The sequence below is a fragment of the Homo sapiens genome, chromosome 4, assembly GCF_000001405.40.
Source record: "Homo sapiens chromosome 4, GRCh38.p14 Primary Assembly".
Taxonomy (NCBI): domain Eukaryota; kingdom Metazoa; phylum Chordata; class Mammalia; order Primates; family Hominidae; genus Homo; species Homo sapiens.
In genome coordinates this window covers 142394199-142418082 of record NC_000004.12, presented here as the reverse complement: position 1 = coordinate 142418082, position 23884 = coordinate 142394199, and the positions used below count along the sequence as shown (strand labels likewise).

The window sequence follows — 23884 nt, the reverse complement described above, 5'->3', positions numbered from 1 at the left end:
ATAATTAGACTGCGTATCTGTTGACTGCATACCTGTGTAGAATTGGGGAGCCAAAATTATTGCAATGTAACCTGAAGATTCCTATGTTATGACAGCATCAAAGAAGCAACCAATCTTCTTGCAGAAATGTTTTTAAGAACAGACATATACAAATAACAACAAGAACAGACAACTGAAATAATAGAAATAGACTGACATAAGGAGATTTGAGCTTAAATTTTAGCTTACAACATGTGCCCGTGAGGGAAGTCAGGGCCAGGCTGGTATTTGGACTGCCAGCCTGAGAGAGCCTTTGGATCCTGATACCGCCTCAAAAATCCTGAAAAATTCATCATTCCTGGGTCGTTTTGCAAACTCAATCAGACAGCATTCCTAAAGCACTAAGAATAGTGCTAGATGTATAAGTGATTCTCCAATGGTATTATTCTAATTATTATCTTGGGTTAATCCCTTTCTGTCCCTGAAACTCTGATTCCTTATCTGTGAATTGCAGATAATAATTCCTATTTTGCAAGTTGTTTGAGCTAATATAGATGAAATTGAGAAGTATATTACTAATACATTGTTAGGAATTTAATACATTTTTTCACACATTTTATTTAATTGGATCCACACAAGCACTAAGTGAGAATAAACATAATTATCATCCCCATTCCCAGATGAAGATACTAAGACTCCGTAACAAACCCAAAATCACACAGTCAGGACTGAATCTATGGCCCTCAACTTTTGGCAATTTGGAAGGCAGAGCAAGTAAGAACTGCCAAGAAGACCTTAAACAGAAGGGAAGGTGCATCATATTCTCATCTTGCCTAGGCTACAGTGCATCCCGGAAGAGGTTCTTTTTAATTTAATTTGAGTAGTGTAAACTACTCTTCTGTTCTGAAACTTCCTGTATGCCTAGGGCTCTGAAGCTTTCTACTTTGAGCTAGCAGCCACTCTGCTGAGCTTTCATTTGAACTGCTCTCCCTGGAGATCCCAAATATTCTGAGAAGTATGCTCTTTTTTCCTTCAAACACTGATCCTCTTAGAACTACTCTTTCCCACGAAGTTGTCTGATCTCGGTTGCTTTCACAAACTGTTGAATTGGTGGATTTTGCTCCAAGTAATTAGACCCTCTGCTTTCCAGCCAGCCCAGATTTACTTTCTCACTTATAAACTCCTCCTTCTCTTATATCCTGGATCACTAGTCATTTCTAGCTTTAGCTTATCTGTATGAAGCTTGTTTTATTTCCTGTGAGTCAACTATCTTATGACAGAAGAATCGACACCCTCAAAGCCCTAGTTAGTCAAATGAATATTGAGATTGTCTTTTGCCTACACAGAATCACACATGATTGATGACTGAAGCGAAACTGGAGTTATCTTCTTTAAGCACTTCAAAACTGGTTCTTGCCCAAAGGATGATCTAGATGGAGACAACAAAATGAGAAGCTCATTATGCCCCTAGAACCATCTATTTTTCTCATTCTTCCCTATTCCTCTTACTTCCTAATCTGTCTTTTTATGTGTCTTCAATTTAATAATTTAATTCTACTGGTAAAATATTTGGCATTTGAGCAATAGCACATAGCCATTAAGCCCAAACAAATTTTCAGGAAAAAAAATTACTTAAATAATTTTTAACCTTAATTTAGACATCATTTCCTAAAATTCAAGCCCTTAACCAACCACCATCTGCACAATGCAATTCTCCTGAATATTTTGGTTTGGGAAAGCATGCTCAGGATTTGGTAAAACCCAGACCATGAGTCAGTGTGTTGTATGGGAAGTCATCTGGATTGAACAGCTGCCTCCCTGTCGGCTTGCTACCTCCTGCCCAAACAAATTCCCTCAGAAGACTGTCAACTCCTCAAGACAACATTCCAGGCCCCTATTTTCTTTATTCTCCCTCAAACTCCTAAATACCTGCCTGACACTATTTTTTTTATTATACTTTAAGTTTTAGGGTACATGTGCACAACGTGCAGGTTAGTTACATATGTATACATGTGCCATGCTCGTGTGCTGCACCCATTAACTCATCATTTAGCATTAGGTATATCTCCTAATGCTATCCCTCCCCCCTCACCCCACCCCACAACAGTCCCCAGAGTGTGATGTTCCCCTTCCTGTGTCCATGTGTTCTCATTGTTCAATTCCCACCTATGAGTGAGAACATGCGGTGTTCGGTTTTTTGTCCTTGTGATAGTTTGCTGAGAATGATGGTTTCCAGCTTCATCCATGTCCCTACAAAGGACATGAACTCATCATTTTTTATGGCTGCATAGTATTTCATGGTGTATATGTGCCACATTTTCTTAATCCAGTCTATCATTGTTGGACATTTGGGTTGGTTCCAAGTCTTTGCTATTGTGAATAGTGCCGTAATAAACATACGTGTGCACGTGTCTTTATAGCAGCATGATTTATAATCCTTTGGGTATATATCCAGTAATGGGATTGCTGGGTCAAATGGTATTTCTAGTTCTAGATCCCTGAGGAATCGCCACACTGACTTCCACAATGGTTGAACTAGTTTACAGTCCCACCAACAGTGTAAAAGTGTTCCTATTTCTCCACATCCTCTCCAGCACCTGTTGTTTCCTGACTTTTTAATGATCGCCATTCTAACTGGTGTGAGATGGTATCATTGTGGTTTTGATTTGCATTTCTCTGATGGCCAGTGTTGATGAGCATTTTTTCATGTGTCTTTTCTGCCTGACACCATTTTGTGCATTCACTCGGAGTCCAGCCATCTTGAGTCCACTCCCCTTAGCCATCCACCTTTGGTAACTGAAGCCCTGACTTTCCTGCCACCCTTCCTGTAACCTTTCTCCACCAGCTACACTGGCCTCATCTTTTGGTTCAGAGGTAGGTCAGGGAAGCAGCCCCTCCCCAATAACCTATGTGCACTGCTGAATCCACTCATGGGCCATATGCTTGTACTGGACAGAAATCCTATTGGCTCCCATATCAGTGGTAGTTGTTCAAAAAAATGGTGCCACCTCAGCTCCTGGAGAAAGGGTGGTAAAAGGCTTAATTAAGGTGGTTCCTTGCATTTCTTTTTCCGCTTACTTCTTCAGCCTAATCCTAACACTACAGATTTCCATGAACCGACTCACAATATTGCTTTTAGTATTCAGGGGGACCTGCTTTCCTTCTTGGAATAACATTTTCATCCTTTCTTAAGCAGCACATATGTTCCCACTGAAAAGAGCAGCAGAAAGCTGCAAACACTTGTTGTTTCCAAAGTGGAACTTGGATTTGGAGCATGCACAAAAAGAGCCAAGTCTGAATGCAACGATAGGCGGTGCTAGGCCAGCTTAGAATTTATGGCATGAAGTGTGGGATATCACAACCAGAAAAGATGCGGGCACAGACTTGTTTTTATTTCAATTGCTTGAGGATGGAGTCTCAGCCACCTAGGTAATATTCATGAAAGCAAGACAAAATAGGATTTTCTGAGGACTGACCTGAGAAGCTAAGGGAGCAGGGCATAAGCTTGAGAATGGGAGTCTTCTGGTACTGACAACAATTATTTGAACCAAATTTTTTCTTTTCATATGCAAATAAGCTGTCTGCTGTACAGCTGGTATCTTCATTTTTCCCAGCACAGACAATCCAAGAGCATTTCCCAAGAGCACCATTGTTCCAGGCAGAGGTTGTGTTGTTTTTCTTTCCCTCTTGATTCTTCAGTGACACTTAAATTGAGAATTGGTACTGGGTGTGAAGTTTATTTTAGTATCAATAATATTCCCAGCTAAAGAAGTGAATTTTATCTTCTCATCCATTTTTTTTTTATTTAAAAGCCCAGCACATTTCTATTTAACACACACACAGACACATAAAATAATGGTGACATGTTTTAATATTGTTGTGTTATAGGATGGTAAAAAAAATAACAAACTTTATTTCAGGGCTTATTTCCCAACAATCTGAAGCTAATATTTTACTTCAAGGAAATCAGTTTAATTTACAAGTGAATCAGTTGTAAAGAAATTTAGGAGCAATGATGCTCAAATCTCAATGTGGCAAGAATTCTAAAGCAATATTTCTACAATAAAATCTCTTAAATTCCCTCTTGCAAATTATTACCTATATTCCTCAATAACTCCGTCATCTGTTTTCTCCCCATGGTATTAGATTCATCCTTTCCTCAAGTTTTATTTGGATTCTATTATCAGAGGGTTGAGAGTCTTAAAATTCTTGTTGCAAAGCTAAATCACCATTGAATATGCAGACAACCAGACAAGCAGAATGACATTATTGAAAACAAATTAACTCAGATTGCTGAATACTAAGCTATTGGTTAAATAAAAAGATAGTATTTATCCTTCAGCCAGACACTGTAACCACAAATATTGACTGGCTGGTTAGTTAAAAATATGAATGTGGAACTAATGGAACTATGAGACAGCAATAGGCATGTTGTTCTAGATGTGAGCTAACACAAGGAAAGGGTCTAAGGCCAATACTTCCTGGTACATATTAAGCATTTAGCAAATTATGCTTCCTGCCACACCTCACCTTCTTTGCATGTTTTATGTATTATCTTTAATAATAAAAACCCTAAAATATGGAAAATATTAGCATTTTATGATTGCAAGATAGGAATACTAGTATCTAGCATTATTTCAATATGCCTAAGAGATTCTTGCATTAGGATGGCTTTATTTATTTGTCTGTGTGTTTATTCACTCATTTAGTTTATGTGTATGTATGAGCTGATTCCTTAGGTTGATTTCTTTTCTTTCAGTCTTAAACATTGAATTGCTTTTATCCGCTGACCTTTTAGAAACCTAAAATTAGTACTATTATTTTCCCTTATATGCGTATTGTCTTTCTTGGAGAGAAAGACCCTGGCTTTGAATTTGGGACATTAATTTTTAGAACTTAGTGCCTTAAAAGACAGAAGAAAACAAACTAAAAAAACCCACACATTTTCTAATTTTTTAATGCCAACTTTTATACATTTGTTCCTATTTTTCCAACAAATATCTCTTATGTTGGCAGCGATGCATGGTCCTTTAGGAAGTGCGTGCCAATTAAAATCTCCCACACAAAAGTTAAGGAGAACATAACACATTTTTGTTTTGTTTCTATAAAGACTTTAAAACCAGTGAACTGAGGGGAGAAGCTGTGGTTTGTTAAGAGCAGTGTGTGCTTGACTCCTAGAGTCCCAAGTCTTATAAAATATATGAGTGGTGACTTTGATAACCTCGTCTTTCAGAGTGATGAGAGTAACACATATGTTGGAGAGGAAATATGAGATGGCAGAGAAGAGAAGAAAAAAGAATAATGTCAAAGGAAAATTATAAAAAGCAGGCTTGCCCGATTGAAAATAAGCTAAAATGAGAGGAAGGACAAGATGAGAGCTACTCTCAATGAATTAAAGACTCAAAGATTTTACAGAGAATACAGAAGAAAGATGGGAGGATATATATTCATGGCCATAAATCAACTCAGCATGATATAGAGACATATTCTTCTAAGAAATAACCATAAACAGATAGTAGTGAAGAGAGTATTTCCAACTGCTTGTGCAATTCTCATTGTGTGGATATTAGTATAGGCAGGGACACTGTACATTCTGTCATTTTACTATATATAATTGAATTATCATGGATTGTAGTGCACTGAGCCTAGGAAGCATCCTCTTCTGAATGTACTCAGGAGATCTGAGCTGGAGAGGTTGACATCCTAGGCTTCAGAAAATTGCTGTCTTAAAATTCTTGAGGGGAAGGAAGAATAAAAAACAAAAAAAGGCAAAGGAGATTAAAAATAGAAAAGCATATTATACTAATAAAGTAATTAGAGGGGCTATTAGGCTTTTTAAGTGCTCTATATATCTTTTAATGTATGATATAAACTGATTTAATCTAGATGTAATCACTGGTATAGAATGTTAACTGTGAAACCATATAATGGAGTCCAATAATTTATTGGACTGGAAACATAACCTAAATTGGCTTATCAGTTGATTAGTGGAATCTAATTTTCTGAAGTACAAAGAGGAAGGACATATATGTGACAGTTTTGAGAAACCTGAACAAACATTAAGAATTTCTGAATAAAAAACTGCCCCCTAGGCTGCAAAAGTCTTTTGCACATCCTTAGGGAAATGATGTGAGATAAGAATGGTGCTATTGAGGGAGGTGGGAAGCCAAATGGTATTTCCCTAAAGCTCTGGGTTTTTTTGTTTTGTTTTTGAGACAGAGTCTCACTCTGTCACCCAGGCTAGAGTGCAGTGGTGCAATCTCAGCTCACTGCAATCTCTGCCTCCCTGGTTCAAGTGATCCTCGTGCCTCAGCCTCCCGAGTAGCTGGGATTACAAACGCGCATCACCATGCCCAGCTAATTTTTGTATTTTTTGTAGAGATGGAGTTGTGCGATGTTGGCCAGGCTGGTCTCAAACTTCTGACCTCAAGTGATCCGCCTGCCTGGGCCTCCCAAAGTGCTGGGATTACAGGCATTAGCCACTGTGCCTGGCCCCTGTTTGTATTAAGGCCACTTTTCTATTCTAGGATGCCAATGTCCTCTGTACTCTGGCCCTTTTTGCTCTTAACAGGCATGGATTTATCTCTCCCATTTCTCCTATGCAGTGTCTGTAGAGGGCATAAGAGGTGAGCTTTCATTAGATTCGAAGGTATGCTTCTATCAGACTATATTGGGCTCTAGCTGTAACATTTAGTTTTAATTGCAAGAAAAAGAAGCTTTATTAGCATCCATAGTCTTCCTTTTTGATGAAGGAAATGTACAGAGCAGAGAAGCAACTCTTTCCCTGACCCTTTGGGACATCTCAGTAGTTAAGCAAGTGCTCCCCTGTGGGCCATCATCCACTGAGTAATGGAACCCTAACCTCCTAGTTAAACCCCTGCTTAAAGGGTGAGTTGACCATTTACATGTAGCACATATGCTGGGAGAGAGAAAGTCAAGTTTGCTTTCTCCATTGTAAGTTTCTCATTTGGAAGTACCTCATTAGAGGTGAAAATTACAAGTGCAAGTGTACACATCTGATTTCACAGAAAGCAGCATATTAATGATGCCTCTGATTTTCACAATTAACACATGATCTAGTAAAGAGCTTTTAAAAATGTATATTTAGCTATCTGAAAATAAGGTGAAAAAAATCACAGGTATATATTTAACAAATGCTTTTATTGAAAAAAGAATAACTTTATATAAAATTAGGACCAATCTGGAATATCTTGAGCATATGATTAGTATAAAAATATAGGATAGATAAAATCCATTTTTTGTGTTAATGCACAGTATAACTATATATTAATGTCAATAATAATTTAAAGGGACTCATATATTAGCATTCTATATACATTACCTTATTGTCTTTATAGCAAATTTATGAAGTACATTCTTTTACTTCCATTTTGCAGATGCTAGAATAGAGATTCAAAGAGATTGAGTAATTCATCCAAAGTCATATATAGCTCTCTCAAATAAGGTTTTATCTTAAGTTAAAAAAAATTTCTTTATCCTCCATACACTATGGTATGTGGTTTCTCCTCTAAGTCTAAATTTCCTTTGGCTAATTTTGAGTACAGAATTGTAGAGATGTGGAAATTCTTGTCATATCCCCCTCACTGATTCCCACGCACCTGTGGCCACTGCTTTGTTCTGGAAGAAAGAGGATAAATTTTGTTAGATTCCATTAACAATGAATGGCAAGAAGAGAGATGAAGTAAGAGTGAGGCAAGAGAAAAGACCTCACTTCACAGAAGAAAGTTTTCTTAGGGGGAAAGAGATGGTCACTTGGGGTTGACCACCAATTCACAGTGCCTCAGTGGTTCACACCACCACTCTCGTGAAAGCCTGGGGCAGGCATCTGCTTGTTGACACCCCCCTTGTCTAATGTATGCTTTACAACTACTTGAATTCGAGCAGTGTTGCTGAACTCAAAAGCACCTGAATGAACAGTTGTGTTCTACTTCAAATTGATTATTGCTGAGACTGAGCTCTCTGATGTGAATCAAGAGGTATTTTTAGGCTTCCAGCCAAAATTGGTTGGAATGATAGAAATGATCATGGACTCAATAGCCTTCACCTGATTTTGAAATAATGGCCACAGGAAACAGAAACTGATATTTTATAAAAAGCAGTATTTTGGTATAGACAGTATCTTTGATTTCACAAAAATCCTGAAGAGTCCCACCTTTTAGCTCTGGACTCTCCAGTGAGAACTACTGGAGCAGAAGAAAATCTGTGCCCTCTTCCTAAGAGGCTAGGTAGTAGCTGTAAGCGTCAAGACTAGAATTTGGCAATTTCTATTCCTCAGAAAAACTTCTGGCCAAATCTATCAAACAGATGTATTTTGTGCAGCTGTTCCAGTGTTCACCTGCACAGTGACTGGGGATTTCAAGCTTTGGAGAAATCCTAAAATCAAGGACACAGTGGGCCTTCATTTTTTCAGGCAATGACTTTGTATAGAGGTTCCATCTTATGACATAGTGTAAGCTTTCCAGTTTGTTCAGTGCCTAGCCCTCCCTGGACATATTGAGTCTTTATTTGTTTATTATTTTTTGAGATAGAGTCTCAGTCACCGGAGATATTGAGTCTCTTTATTTATTTATTTATTTATTTATTATTTTTTGAGAAGGAGTCTCGCTCTGTTGCCCAGGCTAGAGCACAATGACGCAATCTCGGCTCACTGCAACCTCCGCTTCCCGGGTTCAAGCGACTCTCCCACCTCAGCCCTCCGAGTAGCTGGGATTAAAGGCACCCACCACCATGGCCAGCTAATTTTTGTATTTTTAGTAGAGATGGGGTTTTGCCATGTTGGCCAGGCTGGTCTCGAACTCCTGACCTCAAGCAATCTGCCCTCCTTGGCCTCCCAAAGTGCTGGGATTACAGGCGTGAGCCACCGCATGTGGCCCCCTCCATTTATTTTTATTATTATGCTTCCACTGAGGATTTCCTTCTCGTAGAGTGAAAACTGCCTGGCTCCTGTACAAATATGAGCTGGGGATGCCTGTAGGCATCTCACTCACAGCTACTCATAGTAGAATGTGAACCCTCATGTTACTAGTTACCATAGCAAAAGTAATCAGGAAATAAAAAGTCACTTATTGCTCTTTATTTTTTTTCTGATGACAAGTCACAAATTATGGTTTAAAAATATATTCCTTCTGTATTATTATTTTTCCCACATTTCAATAAAAAATACACTGGATACAAGCACACTAGAATCCCCATCTATCAACATCCTGCATATTTAAACTCTTCTGAGGTCTAAGAACACTTTTAAACAATTCAATACTAAGCAAAGCCATTAAGAAGGCAGAAATTAAAAATCTACTGATGAATGAAGGATTGCAGTAGCATTTGTTTGTTACTGACCATTAGATTGAAGTGGGTAGAATTCTTAAATAAACAAAACGAAACAGAAGCAAAATCCCAAAGCATTGCTTTCTTTTAGTCTTCTGAGCTGATGAAGGCCACAGATGCAGGCCACTCCTAGAGTAGAATTATATTTGGTTAATGAGCAGTGGTAAGTATAGCTGGAAGACAGATATAACTTTTTATTTATTTATGAGACAGAGTCTCATTCTGTCACCCAGGCTGGAGTGCAGTGGTGTGATCTCAGCTCACTGCAACCTCCGCCCCTGGGGTTCAAGCAATTCTTGTGCCTCAGCCTCCCAAGTAGCTGGCACTACAGGAGTGTGCCACCACGCCCAGCTAATTTTTGTATTTTTAATAGAGATGGGGTTTCGTCATGTTGGCCAGGCTGGTCTGGAATTCCTGATGTCAGGTCATCCTGGCCTCGGCCTCTCAAATTGCTGGGATTCCAGGCATAAGCCACCTCACCCATTCACTTTTTTTTTTTCCTGAAAACAGATTTTTCAGGATTCTTTATTGGCTGCTAAATAATTCTCATACGGATTAGATTTTATAGTGATCATATGAGTAATATCTTCACAAAACAATCCAATCACTCATTATTTATCAGCCGTCTGGTGGGACTGATTCAGTATGTACAGATCCATGATGTGAATAGGTTTCACCTTATGAAATGCAATGACTCATGTACTAATTTGGTATTTATGAAGAAATATTGGACCTGGTAACAGCTTTTAAAAAGCTGAGTATGACTGAGTCAATAAAAACAATTTTACACAATAATAAAACACCAGATATTGGTAAATGTTGATATTAATATATATTAGTATGATATTAGTAAACTTTTTTTTTGCATAGAAAAGTCCATTTATAAAAAGGCCCAATTTCCTCACTTCCACCCTGAGAGGTAGGTAGATAGATGAGGCAATTAAGTGTCAGAGTTTGTGACTTACTCAGTGCCACAGAACTAGAAAGCAGGAAATCTGGGAGCACAGCTTAGGAATTCTGCCTGATCTCGGGTTCTCTCCAGGATATCATGCTGCATAAGACTTAGGGTACAGTAAATCCTCTGAGCTGTAGGAAGAAAAAAGTGCAGCCCAAGATGTAACTATTATTGTTTTCCTGACAAGATGTAACCGTATTGTTTTTAGATGTGGAATATAATAAAAATACAAAGCATCATCATTATTTTTATCAGTATTAGGGAATGTGCAAATTGGGTTGGACAGAACATTTCAGTGTAATAGAAATTTTCTCTGTTTTTATGGGGAACGAGGGTGAGAGTCTCTCTGATAAAATGGAGAACAGCTGCTCATTTCTGGGAAATAACCACAGCCCACAATCAAGTCTGATAAGAACTCAGAAAAGAAGTGACTTATTTTGAGCAAAGGTGTCATGAGCTCACAAGGTAAAAGATGGGGCTACAAGCAGAAAGTGGGCAAGATGCCTGTATTTGAAACACAGTGGCCTCAGCTTTAAAATTCTGATAGATATATGTCAATATCAGGAAACGGAAAAAGAGCTGTTTACTGTAAGCAGAAAACCAACAGTTGAATTTTATGAGCAATAAAATTAAACACATTCATATTGCAAGTAAAGGAAATGATCAAAATAACCACCAAAGAACAGTGAAAATCTAAATCTAGCTTTTTCTTTCCTTCCGGTGATACGTTGACATTATTGAAACCTGGCACCAGTATTTTTTAAAACTCTAAGTCTCTTGGGTTGAGTAATAATCGTGGTGTGGCGGTGGGTCTTCCAAAGAGAGGTGCCATTGTGCAGGAGGGCAGGTCGGCATGCCAAGAAGAGAAATGAAGCCAGTGGGGTAGGATGTAAGCTACCAGAGAATTCTAGTAATGTAAATGTGAGCACTTCATGTTTCCAAGCCTCTAGTTCTAGTTCTATGTAAAACTGAAATAATTCAAAGCACCATTTTAAGGAATAGAGAGATAATTAGCAAAATGCCTCAAAAATAGTAAGGGTTAAATACATTGTAGCTATTATGTTTTTTCCATACATGCTTTCATAAGCTCTCTTCTGTTACTAGAGGCATGTGGTTTATATAAGGAAAAAAAAGTATATGACAAAACGCCATACAGAAGCAGCAGGATCTGAAAGTCTGGTAAGAAGTTAAGCAGTTAAATAATTTTCCCAGTGTTGCCTAGCTATTTGAACTGGACTAAAACCAAGCCTGTTTCATTCCGAAGTTCCTGCTTTTTCTATCTCCTTGTACTTCTGAAAGAGATTATCTGTAAACAATTGAAAGGTGATAATTGCATCTATACTTTCCTTTGCTTTCAAGTTTCAGATTTAAGCCATATTACCTTTGTTACCAATGGTAAGGACCTTGCAAGCTCTGACCACAACATACCTTAAATACCTCATCTTTCTCTCCCTTCCTGTTATGGTCTGAGAAGTGGGGTAGGGATGGTATAGAACCCTGCATGCCCTCACCATGAAATCAAGGACCCAGGGCTACTTCCCCCATCCATAGCTCCAGCCTGCAGCAAGCCACCAGCCGAATTTAACTTGAACCACCTCTAGTGAGGGCACTTTACATCTCAGCAACTCAGCTGAAGGGAGTAAAATTATTATTTCAAAGGTGGGAGGCGAGGGTGGCGGGGATAGAGAGGAAAGTCGATTCAGACTTGCTTAAAAGGAATATTTTTCTGGATTTTTCTTCCTCAAATTGGGGGAATGATATGTGAGAGGAGAAAATATTCAAGTAAATATGGTATGGTGGCGAGGGTCTGTAATATGAGCCTGGTGTCTCAAGGGAAAGTTTTTAACTTTTGTGGCCCCTGGGCAAGAATTAACCCATCTCCTCCAGGCTTAGCTTGAATTCCAGACCAGGGCTTTAAAAATCCTACCTCTGCTTCCTCTTCCCCTGCTTGTGTGCTGTTGTGGTTGAGAAACTGCTCTCCTTGTTTCTGTTGGTGTGTATTACTGTGGGAGGCCAGTTCTAGTGAATACATAGGTAAGGACCAAGTATGAATTCAAACACTTGATCTAATCCAACCCATGTCAATAAGGAACACCAAAGTTTCCCAGATATGGCCCAAATCAACTTTCACATCCTCAAGGAGTGTGACTTAAAGCCCAGGGCTTAATGGCTAATTAAAGTCACTGAGGTTTCTGAGCCATGTGTGCATAGTCACGCATTAGAGCTGGGATCTCAGACCAGTAAAGACTTGCATGAACTGCAAATGTGGTCAGTGGAAATGAACTCTCAATTCAGCTCCACAGCACGTGACTTCCTATTTCTGTAAGGTACTTCCAAGGGACTTCCTCTGTAAAACCAGCCTGAGCCCCAGGAGATTTCCTTCAGTGCTGTAGCTAAGTTCACTTTCAGCCCGGCGCAGAAGTTTTCCCTGAGATATGGTGTTAGTTTCTTTTCTTTCTGTCTCCTCTGCCGTTGCCAGCATGCAAGGATCTCGTGGCTCCTGTCCGTGATCGTAAACTGAATACACTGGTGCAGATCTCCGTAATCCACCCCGTGGAGCAGAGTCTGACAAGATACTCCAGCACCGAAATTGTGGAGGTGAGATGCTGTGTGCCTACATTAATCTCTCTCTCTCTCTCTCTCTTGCTGGCTCGCTCGCTCTTGCTCTCTCTCTCCCTCCCCCCCACCCCCGCCCCATCTCTGGATTTGAATGAACAGCTGAAATAAGTTAGTTCATAGTCTGTAGCAATGCTGCATTACCATCCTCTGTCATTAAGAAGCACATACCTGAGATTATTAAGCAATGCATTGGTAATTTACTAGAACGAACAAATGACAAAATAACTTGTCTTTTTTTTTCTTTTCATACAAAGAGTTTATTTTTCTCCCAAAGATAGAAAAAAAAGTTCCCACTTTAAATTCTCATATAGAGCATAGAATAAAGAAAAACAACATACAGACTTTAAATTGAAATAAATATTTATTTTGAGGAAAAAAAAGAAAGTTGTACAGTACCCAGAGAAATTTTAAACATGTTAAGGGTTTTTGCTTTTTTTCCCCCCGGTATTCTTTAGTCTGTGGAAACTTTATATTCTCTGTTGTTTGTCTGTCTTTCAACTTACGATGTTTTTCAGGGAAAAGTAGATGATTAATTTGACAAACTATGTTTTTAGGCAAAAAGTATAAATATTACTCATCAGATGGGAGGTTTCCTATTTACATTTATTATTACTAATATAACATTCAAAATGTCAAGAGGAAACTTGTTATTGTGTTGGATCAGATTCAAAAGAGGAAGTGTTTCCCTTTGGATTATTTTGTTCTGATCACACATTTCACAACCTTAATGAATGAGAGATACTTATTTAAACATCTGGGGCTGGAGAAAGTATAATCTACACTTCTTAAGATTTGCTTGTTTTTCTTAGACTTGTGAGCTGCATATGTTTTGAATGAGGAGTTTCTCTGTAAGAACCTAACTAGCCTGCCCCAGACCTGGCTAGCTCAGGGCTGACCGCCTGCTTTGATGCGGTGGTGGAATAAATGATTCAGACTGAACGGGAGTCATTTCTATAATGGGAATGACCCAGATACTGCATGTAGCCCTGAATATGCCCTTTGGAAACTTTAGGTTCCAGTGTTGGTATAATATATAGTTAATGCTATAGTTGAATTAACAAAAATAATCTTATTCATATGAAAACATCTTAACCAAAATTGTAAGTTATTCATTTTATATAAAAAAGTTAAAAATTCTGTTATTTTAAAAATGTTGCCAAAATTTACTTATTCACTCATTTAATTTTGATTTTTTCTTAATTTTCATTTTATTGTGATAAAATACACATATTATAAAATTTACCATCTTAACTATAAGAAATGTCTTATTTTGGCACATTTTAAAATATTGTACTTGAACATGTTTTGCTATTTTTAGTTGTTTTATTCACTGCCCGTTCCAAAGTGTCTGATGCAGTGCCAAGCAAAATGTATTTGTTGAATGAAAGAATAAATGAATGAATTACTTGGGCTTCCAGAAATTTCCATAGACAATTAGTTTATAGAACTCTAGCAAACATCTCCATGATATTCGGCAATATATATGTATAAAATTTAATGCTGGATGTCAGCTCTAAAAATGAATTCTGAGGCATTGAAATATCCTGTGCACTGCATCCTGAGCTAGTAATTTTATAGCCTCAAATCCATCATATTTAGAGTTTCTTTCATTAGTTTTCAAGTGATTCTGAGGAAAAAAAAAATCATAGCTGAACATCTAAAAACAAATGGACACTATCAGAGCATGATTTTCAATTGAATCATTACAGAAAGGAAATAAATGGAAGCATAAGATTACCACATGGTTCTTTCGGAGAAAATAGCTTCATTTTAATTTGATGAGTCAATATCTTAGATTATTTGCATAAATTACAAGTTATATTTATTAAGTGTATTTTAAATTAACTAACCCTAAAGAAGGGTTCTGTAGATAATAAAAATAAACTTTTTCAAGGCAGCTCTGACAATGATGCAGGTTCATTTACTATCAGCAGTTGTATCACTTCCTTAAGGCCCTGGGCCATGTTGTTGCCCAAGAGCAGGATTTGACAATTCAGATCTCTTCTAATAGAACTATTTCCTTGAAAAACAGACTCAGGCACACTTTCTGCATTCTCATGTGTCACTTGCGTGCTGCCAACTACAGTTGCTGCCTTATTGAATCAAAGTTGTCTGCTTGTGCTGTTACAGGGAACAAGGGACCCACTGTTTTTGACTGGTGTCACATTCCCATCTGAGTATCCCATCTATGAGGAGACCAAAATAAAACTAACAGTCTATGATGTCAAGGATAAGTCTCATGACACCGTAAGTACTGGTACTTCTTTCTTTCTTTGGGAAAAAGTTATGCTTTTCCACACGATTGGATTTTTTGTGTAACTGACATTTTTCAAAGAGGATATTTGCACCGTGTTCATGATTGTCTTATGTTTATCGTTTGTTGTTTTTTTCCCAAATATGTTTGTCTCGTTGCCAAATTGGCAATTGGTTAGGAGCAAAAGTTTTTGGAACAGATTTTTCTTTTTCAGGAGAGCTGACTTGATCTTTTGGTTTACATTTTGTTGTTGTTGTTTTCAGCAGAGTGGTAATATTGTGGGTAGAAAGCAAATGGAAATTAGGCAATATTTAAAACTTTCTTGATAGTGTAATTATTCTAAAATAGGGGATTGACAAAGTGCTCTACTTTTACAATGTATTGCATACCGTATAGAGAGAAACTGACTACATTTTTCTTGATGTTGTTACTGGCACCAAAGCAAACAGAAGGTAATTGGAAACAGTAGGAAGAAACGTTAACTGCTCTCTTTTCAAGAAGGCCAGGCAAAATCCCAGTGGTCTTTTGTCCTAAATTCTTCAATCTTCCTAACTGGTCTGCATATTCCTCCAATTGCATCATCCTTCCTGGTTAGGCACTATAGAGGACACTCTTAAAATTCTTGGACAGGAGAAAATGCTATTGGGGAGGTAATGAAAAGGGGAAGGCAGTTCTCTCCTTTAAATTTCTTCCATTAGCATGAATTTGTATGTGTCTTCAAGGCAGGGAGCTATGAGAGACTTGAAGGTCAATATTGTAGCATGAGGCAGTAAACTCTTTAATGGCAGGTGGACCAGTGGGTTCCAGGAGAGTTCTGGTTGAAGCTAAGGGATGCTGCTGGACCTGGGGAATCCCACAGTGCCTTGTATAGGGAAAATGTCACTTTGAACTCTGCCCTCACTTCGGCATTTCTGTTTTGCTCATGACTTTCTCTTCTTTCCATTCTTTACCACAAAACTTAGTCTAATAGTGGGAACATTTAATGGAAAAAAATATTCTATATTGAAGGGATTTCTATGCATCTTAGCCCCAGAAAAGTTCATTTCTTTAAAATTGCAGAACAAAGACTCAAGTAAATGCACAGCATATGTACATGGAAACAAAACAGTTGTGGCTATCTGGTACAATTCTTAAGAAGGCAGATTCTGAGCCATATTTTCTGATTCCGTTCCATATACTGGCTTTGGGAGAGGAAATTCTTGGTTCCCTTGTTTCATCTTTTAAAATATTTACCTAATGGGATTGTTGTAAGGATTAAATTAATTAATATACGTAAAGTGTTACTGACTGTTACAGAGTAATTAATAAGGGTAAGTTACTGCTATTATTGCTGTTATTGTTTTGGCAGCTGCCTCATGCTTTCTTATAAATAGTAAAAATCAATTAAGGGAGTATTAACCAAAATAATTTTCTATATTTACTAATTTTGTTTTTTCTCAAGTGACCCTACATTTGCTGTTTATTACTTCTTTGAACAAAAAAGGTAAAAATTTGGGTTAAAACTGGCAACTGAAAAATATTTGCCTGGGAGTTTTGTCTTTTCCTTTCCAACTTCTTTGGTTTTTGAGGTAATGTGAAAAAGGAGTAGACTGCAGCTGGGATATTTAGACCAGCTTTGATAAATTATGCCCAGAGCTCTCACCCACGGTTTTTTGTTGCTGTTTTTGTTTTCAACCTTTTGCCAGAGGAGAGAGAGAAGTGGAGGAAAAGGTGAAAGAATCATAAAGTTGGGGAGGAGGGAGATATAGTTCAAGTGGAAGGTGGGAGTGGGTGATGCAACTGTGCAGAGAAATGATCAGGACAAAAGGAAAAGCAGAGGAGAAACTATAGGATTTTACGTTCTGCAAAGCCGCTGATTAAATTTAATTCTCCAACAGTCCGAAGACATAGGGTGGGGCATGGAAAGGGCTGAGTTATAGGAACACTGTGCTACAGAAGTGAAAATGTTGCCCCTAAATTCTTGGGTTTGTGAAGTATTTAGAAGTATCAGAGTTAGAAATATTACATGCCAAATGTGTTTCTATCTCCTTCAATCTCCTTCATTTAAAATGTGCATGAATGTTAATGCTTTGGAGATAGACAACTAATGTACTCATTAATTATGCTTTTTGTTGACTTTAGTTCTGGAAACTAATTATTTGGGGTCTTTTAAAGACTTTCTTCCTTGATCAGAGGTGTTATGGCGTAAAAGTATGGAATGAACTGGAACCCCTACTGTGAAGTAAGACTTGTGAAATTTGAACATACTTAAGAAATACACCCAGATTGCATTTATCAAGCACTGTTGATTAAGGCATAACCTCTTCCTTAACATAGCTTTGGTGATGGAAGTGTACATAGAAACACAGTAGATTAATATGCTAATAGTTCCTATGGACATGTGGTCTTTATCTTTGCCCCTTTCTTTCATTTCTTAAGTTTTTCTTTAAAGTGAATGATGGAGGAAGGCAGCAAGTGGCTTAAAGTACAGCTTATAATTATAAGCACTTAACCTAAATATATTAAGATCATAATATTCTAAAGGCATAAGAGATGAGATGGTGAATATTTGTATGTTTTGGAAGGTTAATAAATTGTGTGCATGTGTTTTAAGATAGTTTAAATATTTGGTCCTAGCAAACCATTGATCATACTAGACTGATTCAGGACGATCAGATCTTCTATATTGGTTGAATACTAATTAGTTGAGTCAGATGACTAAATTGCTTGTGTTTTCCTATTGAGCTTATTACTTGGAGATAACCGGTGAAATAAACACGTTACTTTGCCATTTCATATCATTTGCATACATATTTGTACTAGATGTTTTTAAAGAGAAATGATGGCCTTTTCTCTGTGCTCTTGATGCAGATGTTACCTCACTAACTAGTTGTTCTTGTGCTCCTCTAAAAAACTGGATCTAGGATTGATTATCTTAGTAACTTCAGCAGAAATGCAATTAATCATCATAACAAATGAGAAGAGTCTAACTGTTGATTCAGCATAACTATTGTTTCCTTCTACTACATCCTTCATCCTTCCCATTCACTGCCATAAGTTGGCAGACGGATACAGAATGCTTAGCAGGTGGGGGAGGGGTGGGGCATATGGAGTGAAGGGTCTTTATGTATTAGTATTAGAGTGATCTTTTGATTATTTTCCTCACTATAAGGAAATTATTTCCTCAGGATGAGCTGCCATAACATTCCACTGTCTGATGGCAATTTTAAAGCCTGAAATTGAAGCCCATGGCTAGGCTATGAGAACCCTAGTTCGTATAGTAAAGTTGATATCTTCTGGATGTATACTAATTTTAGGCTTTATTTTAAAACTGCTGGAAACTGAAACTTAGACAAAAGTATTTTCAGGACATCATTTACAATGTTTAGCCCTAAAGAGTCAAGCTGTGGGATTCTGAGTCTTTCATATGTTACAGCAGAAACTTAAAAGCAAGAGGAAATTGGCTGGGCACAGTGGCTCTGTAATCCCAGCACTTTGGGAGGCTGAGGTGGGTGGATCATGAGGTCAAGAGATTGAGACCATCCTAGCCAACATGGTGAAACCCCATCTCTACTAAAAATACAAAAATTAGCTGGGCGTGGTGGCACACGCCTGTAATCCCAGCTAGTCAGGAGGCTGAGGCAGGAGAATATCTTGAACTTGGGAGGCAGAGGTTGCAGTGAGCCAAGATTACATCACTGCACTCCAGCCTGGTGACAGAGCGAGACTCCGACTCAAAAAAAAAAAAAAAAAAAAAAAAAAGCAAAAGGAAATTTAGAAAGGAAAAGAACATCACCATAAAACTTTGTCTCTTTTTCCCATTCATCCCATGCAACATGGTGCTGTGGAAGATATTGATGAGTAAGCCTCTTCCAACACCCTCTGAGGACAGCCATCAAATCTGCAAACATATATTAGGTCACAAAATTATTTTTATTTTTGCCCATGGTAGAAATTTGAATTTCTACTCTATTTTGCAGAAGTATACATTGACACCCCTCTTTTTGCTCTGAAAGTAATAAATGTTTGTGGTACCATCAGCTTGTTAAATTCTTTGCTTATAGGACAGAAACTGGTATCCAGTAGACACCGAGCGTTTCTCAGGGAAGGATGTAGTCCTAAGACATTTTTTTACTGCCAGTTACTAGCAACCCTGTATTTGAAACTTTCAGAAAAAGTTATCAAGATTGGATGTGCATGTTACCTAATGTGTGTTGTGTTATATGCCCAGGGCAGTTTAGTTCTAGAGCAGTTCCCTAGACAGTAGTATCCAGTTCATTTTTTATGTTTTTCTGTGTAAGATAATGTTTTGCATTTAATTTATTTTTATTTCACTTGATTTTCTAAATTGGCTTCTTAAGAAGCTTAAGTCTAACTATACCTGTTGAGATACAAATTCTGATAGTTGGCTTTCTTCTTCATCCATAAGATATGGTACAGTGGGTAAGGAAAAATAAATTGAGATTGTTTACAAGTATATGCCAAGCACTATGTTTAATATGTTTTATATATATATATATATATATATATATATATATATATATATATATTTTTTTTTTTTTTTTTTTTTTTTTTAGACAGAGTCTGGCTCTGTTACCCAGGCTGGAGTGCAGTGCCACGATCTCGGCTCACTGCAAGCTCCGCCTCCCGGGTTTACGCCATTCTCCTGCCTCAGCCTCCCGAGTAGCTGGGACTACAGGCGCCCGCCACCACGCCTGGCTAATATTTTTTTGTATCTTTAGTAGAGACGGGGTTTCACCGTGTTAGCCAGGATGGTCTTGATCTCCTGACCTCGTGATCCGCCGGCCTCGGCCTCCCCAAGTGCTGGGATTACAGGCGTGAGCCACCGCGCCCAGGCTGTTATATGTTTTTTTTAATCTCCATAAAACTCCTTTGAGGAAAGTATAATGCCCATTTTAAAGATGAAAAAATTGGTATTCTAAGAATCTAAGGAGGCCGAGTCTGAAATCCTTTATTTTTTTCTAGGCTATGTTATGGTACATATATTGTCCATAGGATTTCTCTCACTTTTATTTCCCCACAGTAGTATGGCACTTTTATTTCAATTGATAGTTTCAAAGCACTTTTTTTATTTTTTATTTTTTATTTTTTTTGAGACGGAGCCTCGCTCTGTCACCAGGCTGGAATGCAGTGGCTCAATGTTGGCTTACTGCAACCTCCACCTCCCAGGTTCAAGTGATTCCCCTGCCTCAGCCTCCCGAGTAACTGGGACTACAGGCGCCCGCCATCATGCCCGGCTAATTTTTTTGTATTTTAGTAGAGACGGGGGTTTCACCGTGTTGGCCAGGATGGTCTCATCTCCTGACCTCGTGATCCGTCCGCTTCGGCCTCCCAAAGTGCTGGGATTACAGGCACGAGTCATCACACCCGGCCGCATGTTTCTTTTGAAGCTTACAAGTTGATCAATTACTAAAACAAGGTCAGTATTCAACCAGAGGAGAAAAACCTATATCCAAAATTTTTAGGCACTTAAGCATATATAACTAATTGAAACTGTCCAAATAAATTTTATAATGAAGTGGTCAATTATTCATGGAAAAAAAATAGCTGTTATTACCGGTTGTGAAATACCTGAGTTTATGTCTCAAACTTTTGCTTTTGTTCCATAGGCCTTGTTTTTTCCTTTTTTAAAATGTGTACTACGTGGTTCCCTCAACCTGCTCATTCATTCAGCCTCTGCCTTTTGAAATGCTTCTGTCTTCATTGTGACATAGTTTGCAAAGGGAGTTACAGATGTCTTGTAGAGGGAGCTGAGGCTTCTAAAATGTTGCTACCCTTTATAATTAAGTTCACTTTCCTTGTTGATAAGTAGGATTTATTTACAAAGGACATAATTTTTAAATTGAGATATAATTTATATGTAACAAACTGGTCAAATCTTAACTGTTCTGTTCCATGAGTTTGACAATTGCGTATGCCCATGTCACTTTCATAAGGCAAGATATAGACCATTTCCATTTTTCTAGAAAGTTCCCTTCTTTCTCCAGCCAATTACCACCCCATACAACCTGAGGCAAACACTTTCCTACAGATCTGTTTTGTTTGCTGTTGAAATTTATATGAATGAAATCTTATAGTTTTGCACTGTTACATCTAGTATCTTTTCTTCAACGTGTTTTTAGATTAATTAATTTCCTGCATGAATCATTAGCCCATTCCTTTTTATTGCAGTCTGTTGTAGTGATATATCACAATTTGTTCATTTACTTTCTTATTGATGGACATTTATGTTGCTTCCGGTTTTTGACAATGATGAATAAAACATCTATGAACATATGTTGACAAATATTGGTATGAAAATGTGCTTTTATTCTTCTGGGTAAATACTGAGGAGTATAATTTCTAGAGTATAGGACAGATTCATGTTTAAGTTTCCTAGAAACTGTCAAATTATTTTCCATATTGATTACATGACTTTTTACTCCTACTCCTAGTAATTTGAGTTCCAGTTTCTCCTCCAACACATGATATTGCCAAACTTTTCCACTTAGCTATTTTAGTGGGTATGAAGTGGTATCTCATTGTGGTTTTAATTGGCATTTTCCTGATGACTAATTATGTTGAGCACGTTTTCCTGTGCTTACTGGCCATTCATCTGACTCTTTTTGGAAAAAATGAAGTATCTAAGTCTTTTGCCTATTTATTAAAAAAAGGGTTCTTTTTCTTCTTGAGTTCTCAGAGTTCTTCATACATTGTGGATACAAGTGCTTTTGTTGTATATAAGTGTTAGAGGGTTTATTAGTCTTTGGCTTAGCCTAATAATTTCCTTAATAATACATTTTGTTGACAAAATTTTTTAATTCTGATTAAGTCCAGTTTATCAATTTTTTTTGCATTCATGGTTAATCCCTCTTTTTAAAAATACTGTAGTAAGAACACTTAACATGAGATTTAACCTCTTAAAAAATCTTAAATATACAGTACAGTATTTTTAACTATAGGGATAATGTTGTATAGCAGCTCTCCAGAACTTATTCTTCTTGCATAATTGGGACTTTATACTAATTAATTAGCAACTCCTCATTTTTCCCTTTCCCCAGCTCCTAGCAATCACAATTTTACTCTCTGATTCTATGAGTTTGACAATTTTAGATACTTCCTCCTATAATTGGAATAATGTATGCATCCTTCTGTGACTAGCTCATTTCACTCAGCATAATATCTTCAAGTTTCATCCAGGCACATATTATGGGATTTCCTATTTTTTAAGGCTAAATAATATTCCATTTTATATGCCACATTTTCTTTATCCACTCATATACTGATGAACGTTTAGGTTGTCTCCACATCTTGGCCATTGTGAATAGTGCTGCAATGAATGTTGCAGTGCTAATATCTCTTAGAAATCCTGCTCTGTTATTTTGGATAAATACCCAAAAGTGAGATTGTTGTATCCTATGGTAGTTCTATTTTTAATTTTTTGAAGAAAGGTCTGGGAAAAGTCTGTCAACTCTCGGATTTTGTTTTATTTTGGTTTATTAAACTTGGTTTCCTGATGAGTTAAACAAAAACTATTATTTTTATAGTTCGCTTGACTTCTCAGTGTTAGAATGCGGGTAACAGTCTCTAGCAACTTTTAATATTTTAAGCAGAAGCAGAACTATTACATATCGATGTTATTTCTTTTAGCATTGATGCTACTATCCATACATTTGCATTTTCATTTCTGCCTCTTTCATTTCCTTTTCTCTGGAATTTACATATCAAAGTACATTGCACTCTGCTGATGCTCTTCACATTGTTTCTCCCTTTCTGTCATGTTCCTGTCCTCTCTGTTTTACTATTATCTGCACTCACACAGTAGTTGTTCTCTATCATCTCTTCAAAAACTTTGTTTGCTTTTTTGTTTTGGGCTCTCACAACAGAGGAAAGGATAAGCATTGACACTTTCCACAAGGAAATAATGATGTTTGCATGGAGAAAGACTGACTTTTTGATGGTAGAAACGGAAGTAAGTTTAATTATGAATTTCTTAAAAAATAAACTTTGGTCATGAAACTAAAAGGAACTAGAAGAAAATGTGGGGGAAAAGTTCTGTCACATTGATCTGAGCAAAGATATTTTGGCTGTGACCCCAAAAAAATAGGCAACAAAAACAAAAATAAACAAATGAGATTGCATCAAAGGCTTCTACACATAAAAGGAAGCAATTAATAGCATGAAGAGACAACCCATGAATTGGAAGTATTTGCAAATCATACATCTGATAAGGGGATAATATCCAAAATATGTATGTAACTCAAACAACTCAATAATGAGAAAACAACTCATTTAGAAAATTGGCAAAGGACCTGCATAAACATTCGTCAAAAGAAAATATACAAATGGCCAACAGGTATATTAAAAAAATGCTCATCATCACAAATCATCAGGGAAATGCAAATTTAAACCATAATGAGATATCACCTCACACTTGTTAGAATGGCTATTGTCAAAAAGACAAAAATTAAGAATGTCAGCAAGGATATAAAGAAAAGTGAAACTTTGGCCAGGTGCGGTGGCTGTAGCCTGTAATCCCAGCACTTTGGGAGGCTGAGGCGGGCAGATCACGAGGTCAGGAGATCGAGACCATCCTGGCTAACACGGTGAAACCCTGTCTCTACTAAAAATCCAAAAAATCAGCCGGGCGTGGTGACAGGAGCCTGTAGTCCCAGCTACTTGGGAGACTGAGGCAGGAGAATGGCATGAACTCAGGAGGCGGAGCTTGCAGTGAACTGAGATTGTGCCCCAGC

At 37.5% G+C, this 23884-nt stretch overlaps 1 protein-coding gene across 57 annotated transcripts in view; it reads left to right on the top strand.

The window, feature by feature from the left end:
* The window catches only part of INPP4B (inositol polyphosphate-4-phosphatase type II B), an 823376-nt gene that overhangs the window by 428453 nt on the left and 371039 nt on the right, over nucleotides 1-23884 (top strand). For 36 of the 57 annotated variants that reach the window (NR_169617.1, NR_169615.1, XR_007057981.1 and 33 more), the window contains 2 exons: nucleotides 12759-12877; nucleotides 15029-15145. Coding sequence is in view for 33 of the 57 variants with exons in the window: in NM_003866.3 (NP_003857.2) it covers nucleotides 12759-12877; nucleotides 15029-15145 (236 nt within the window). In the remaining 24 variants the exon portion in view is untranslated. Of the gene's footprint in view, nucleotides 1-12223; nucleotides 12314-12636; nucleotides 12878-14949; nucleotides 15146-20409; nucleotides 20572-23884 lie in introns of those variants that run through there. The other 21 variants (NR_169623.1, NR_169616.1, NR_169618.1 and 18 more) reach the window with 4 other exon arrangements.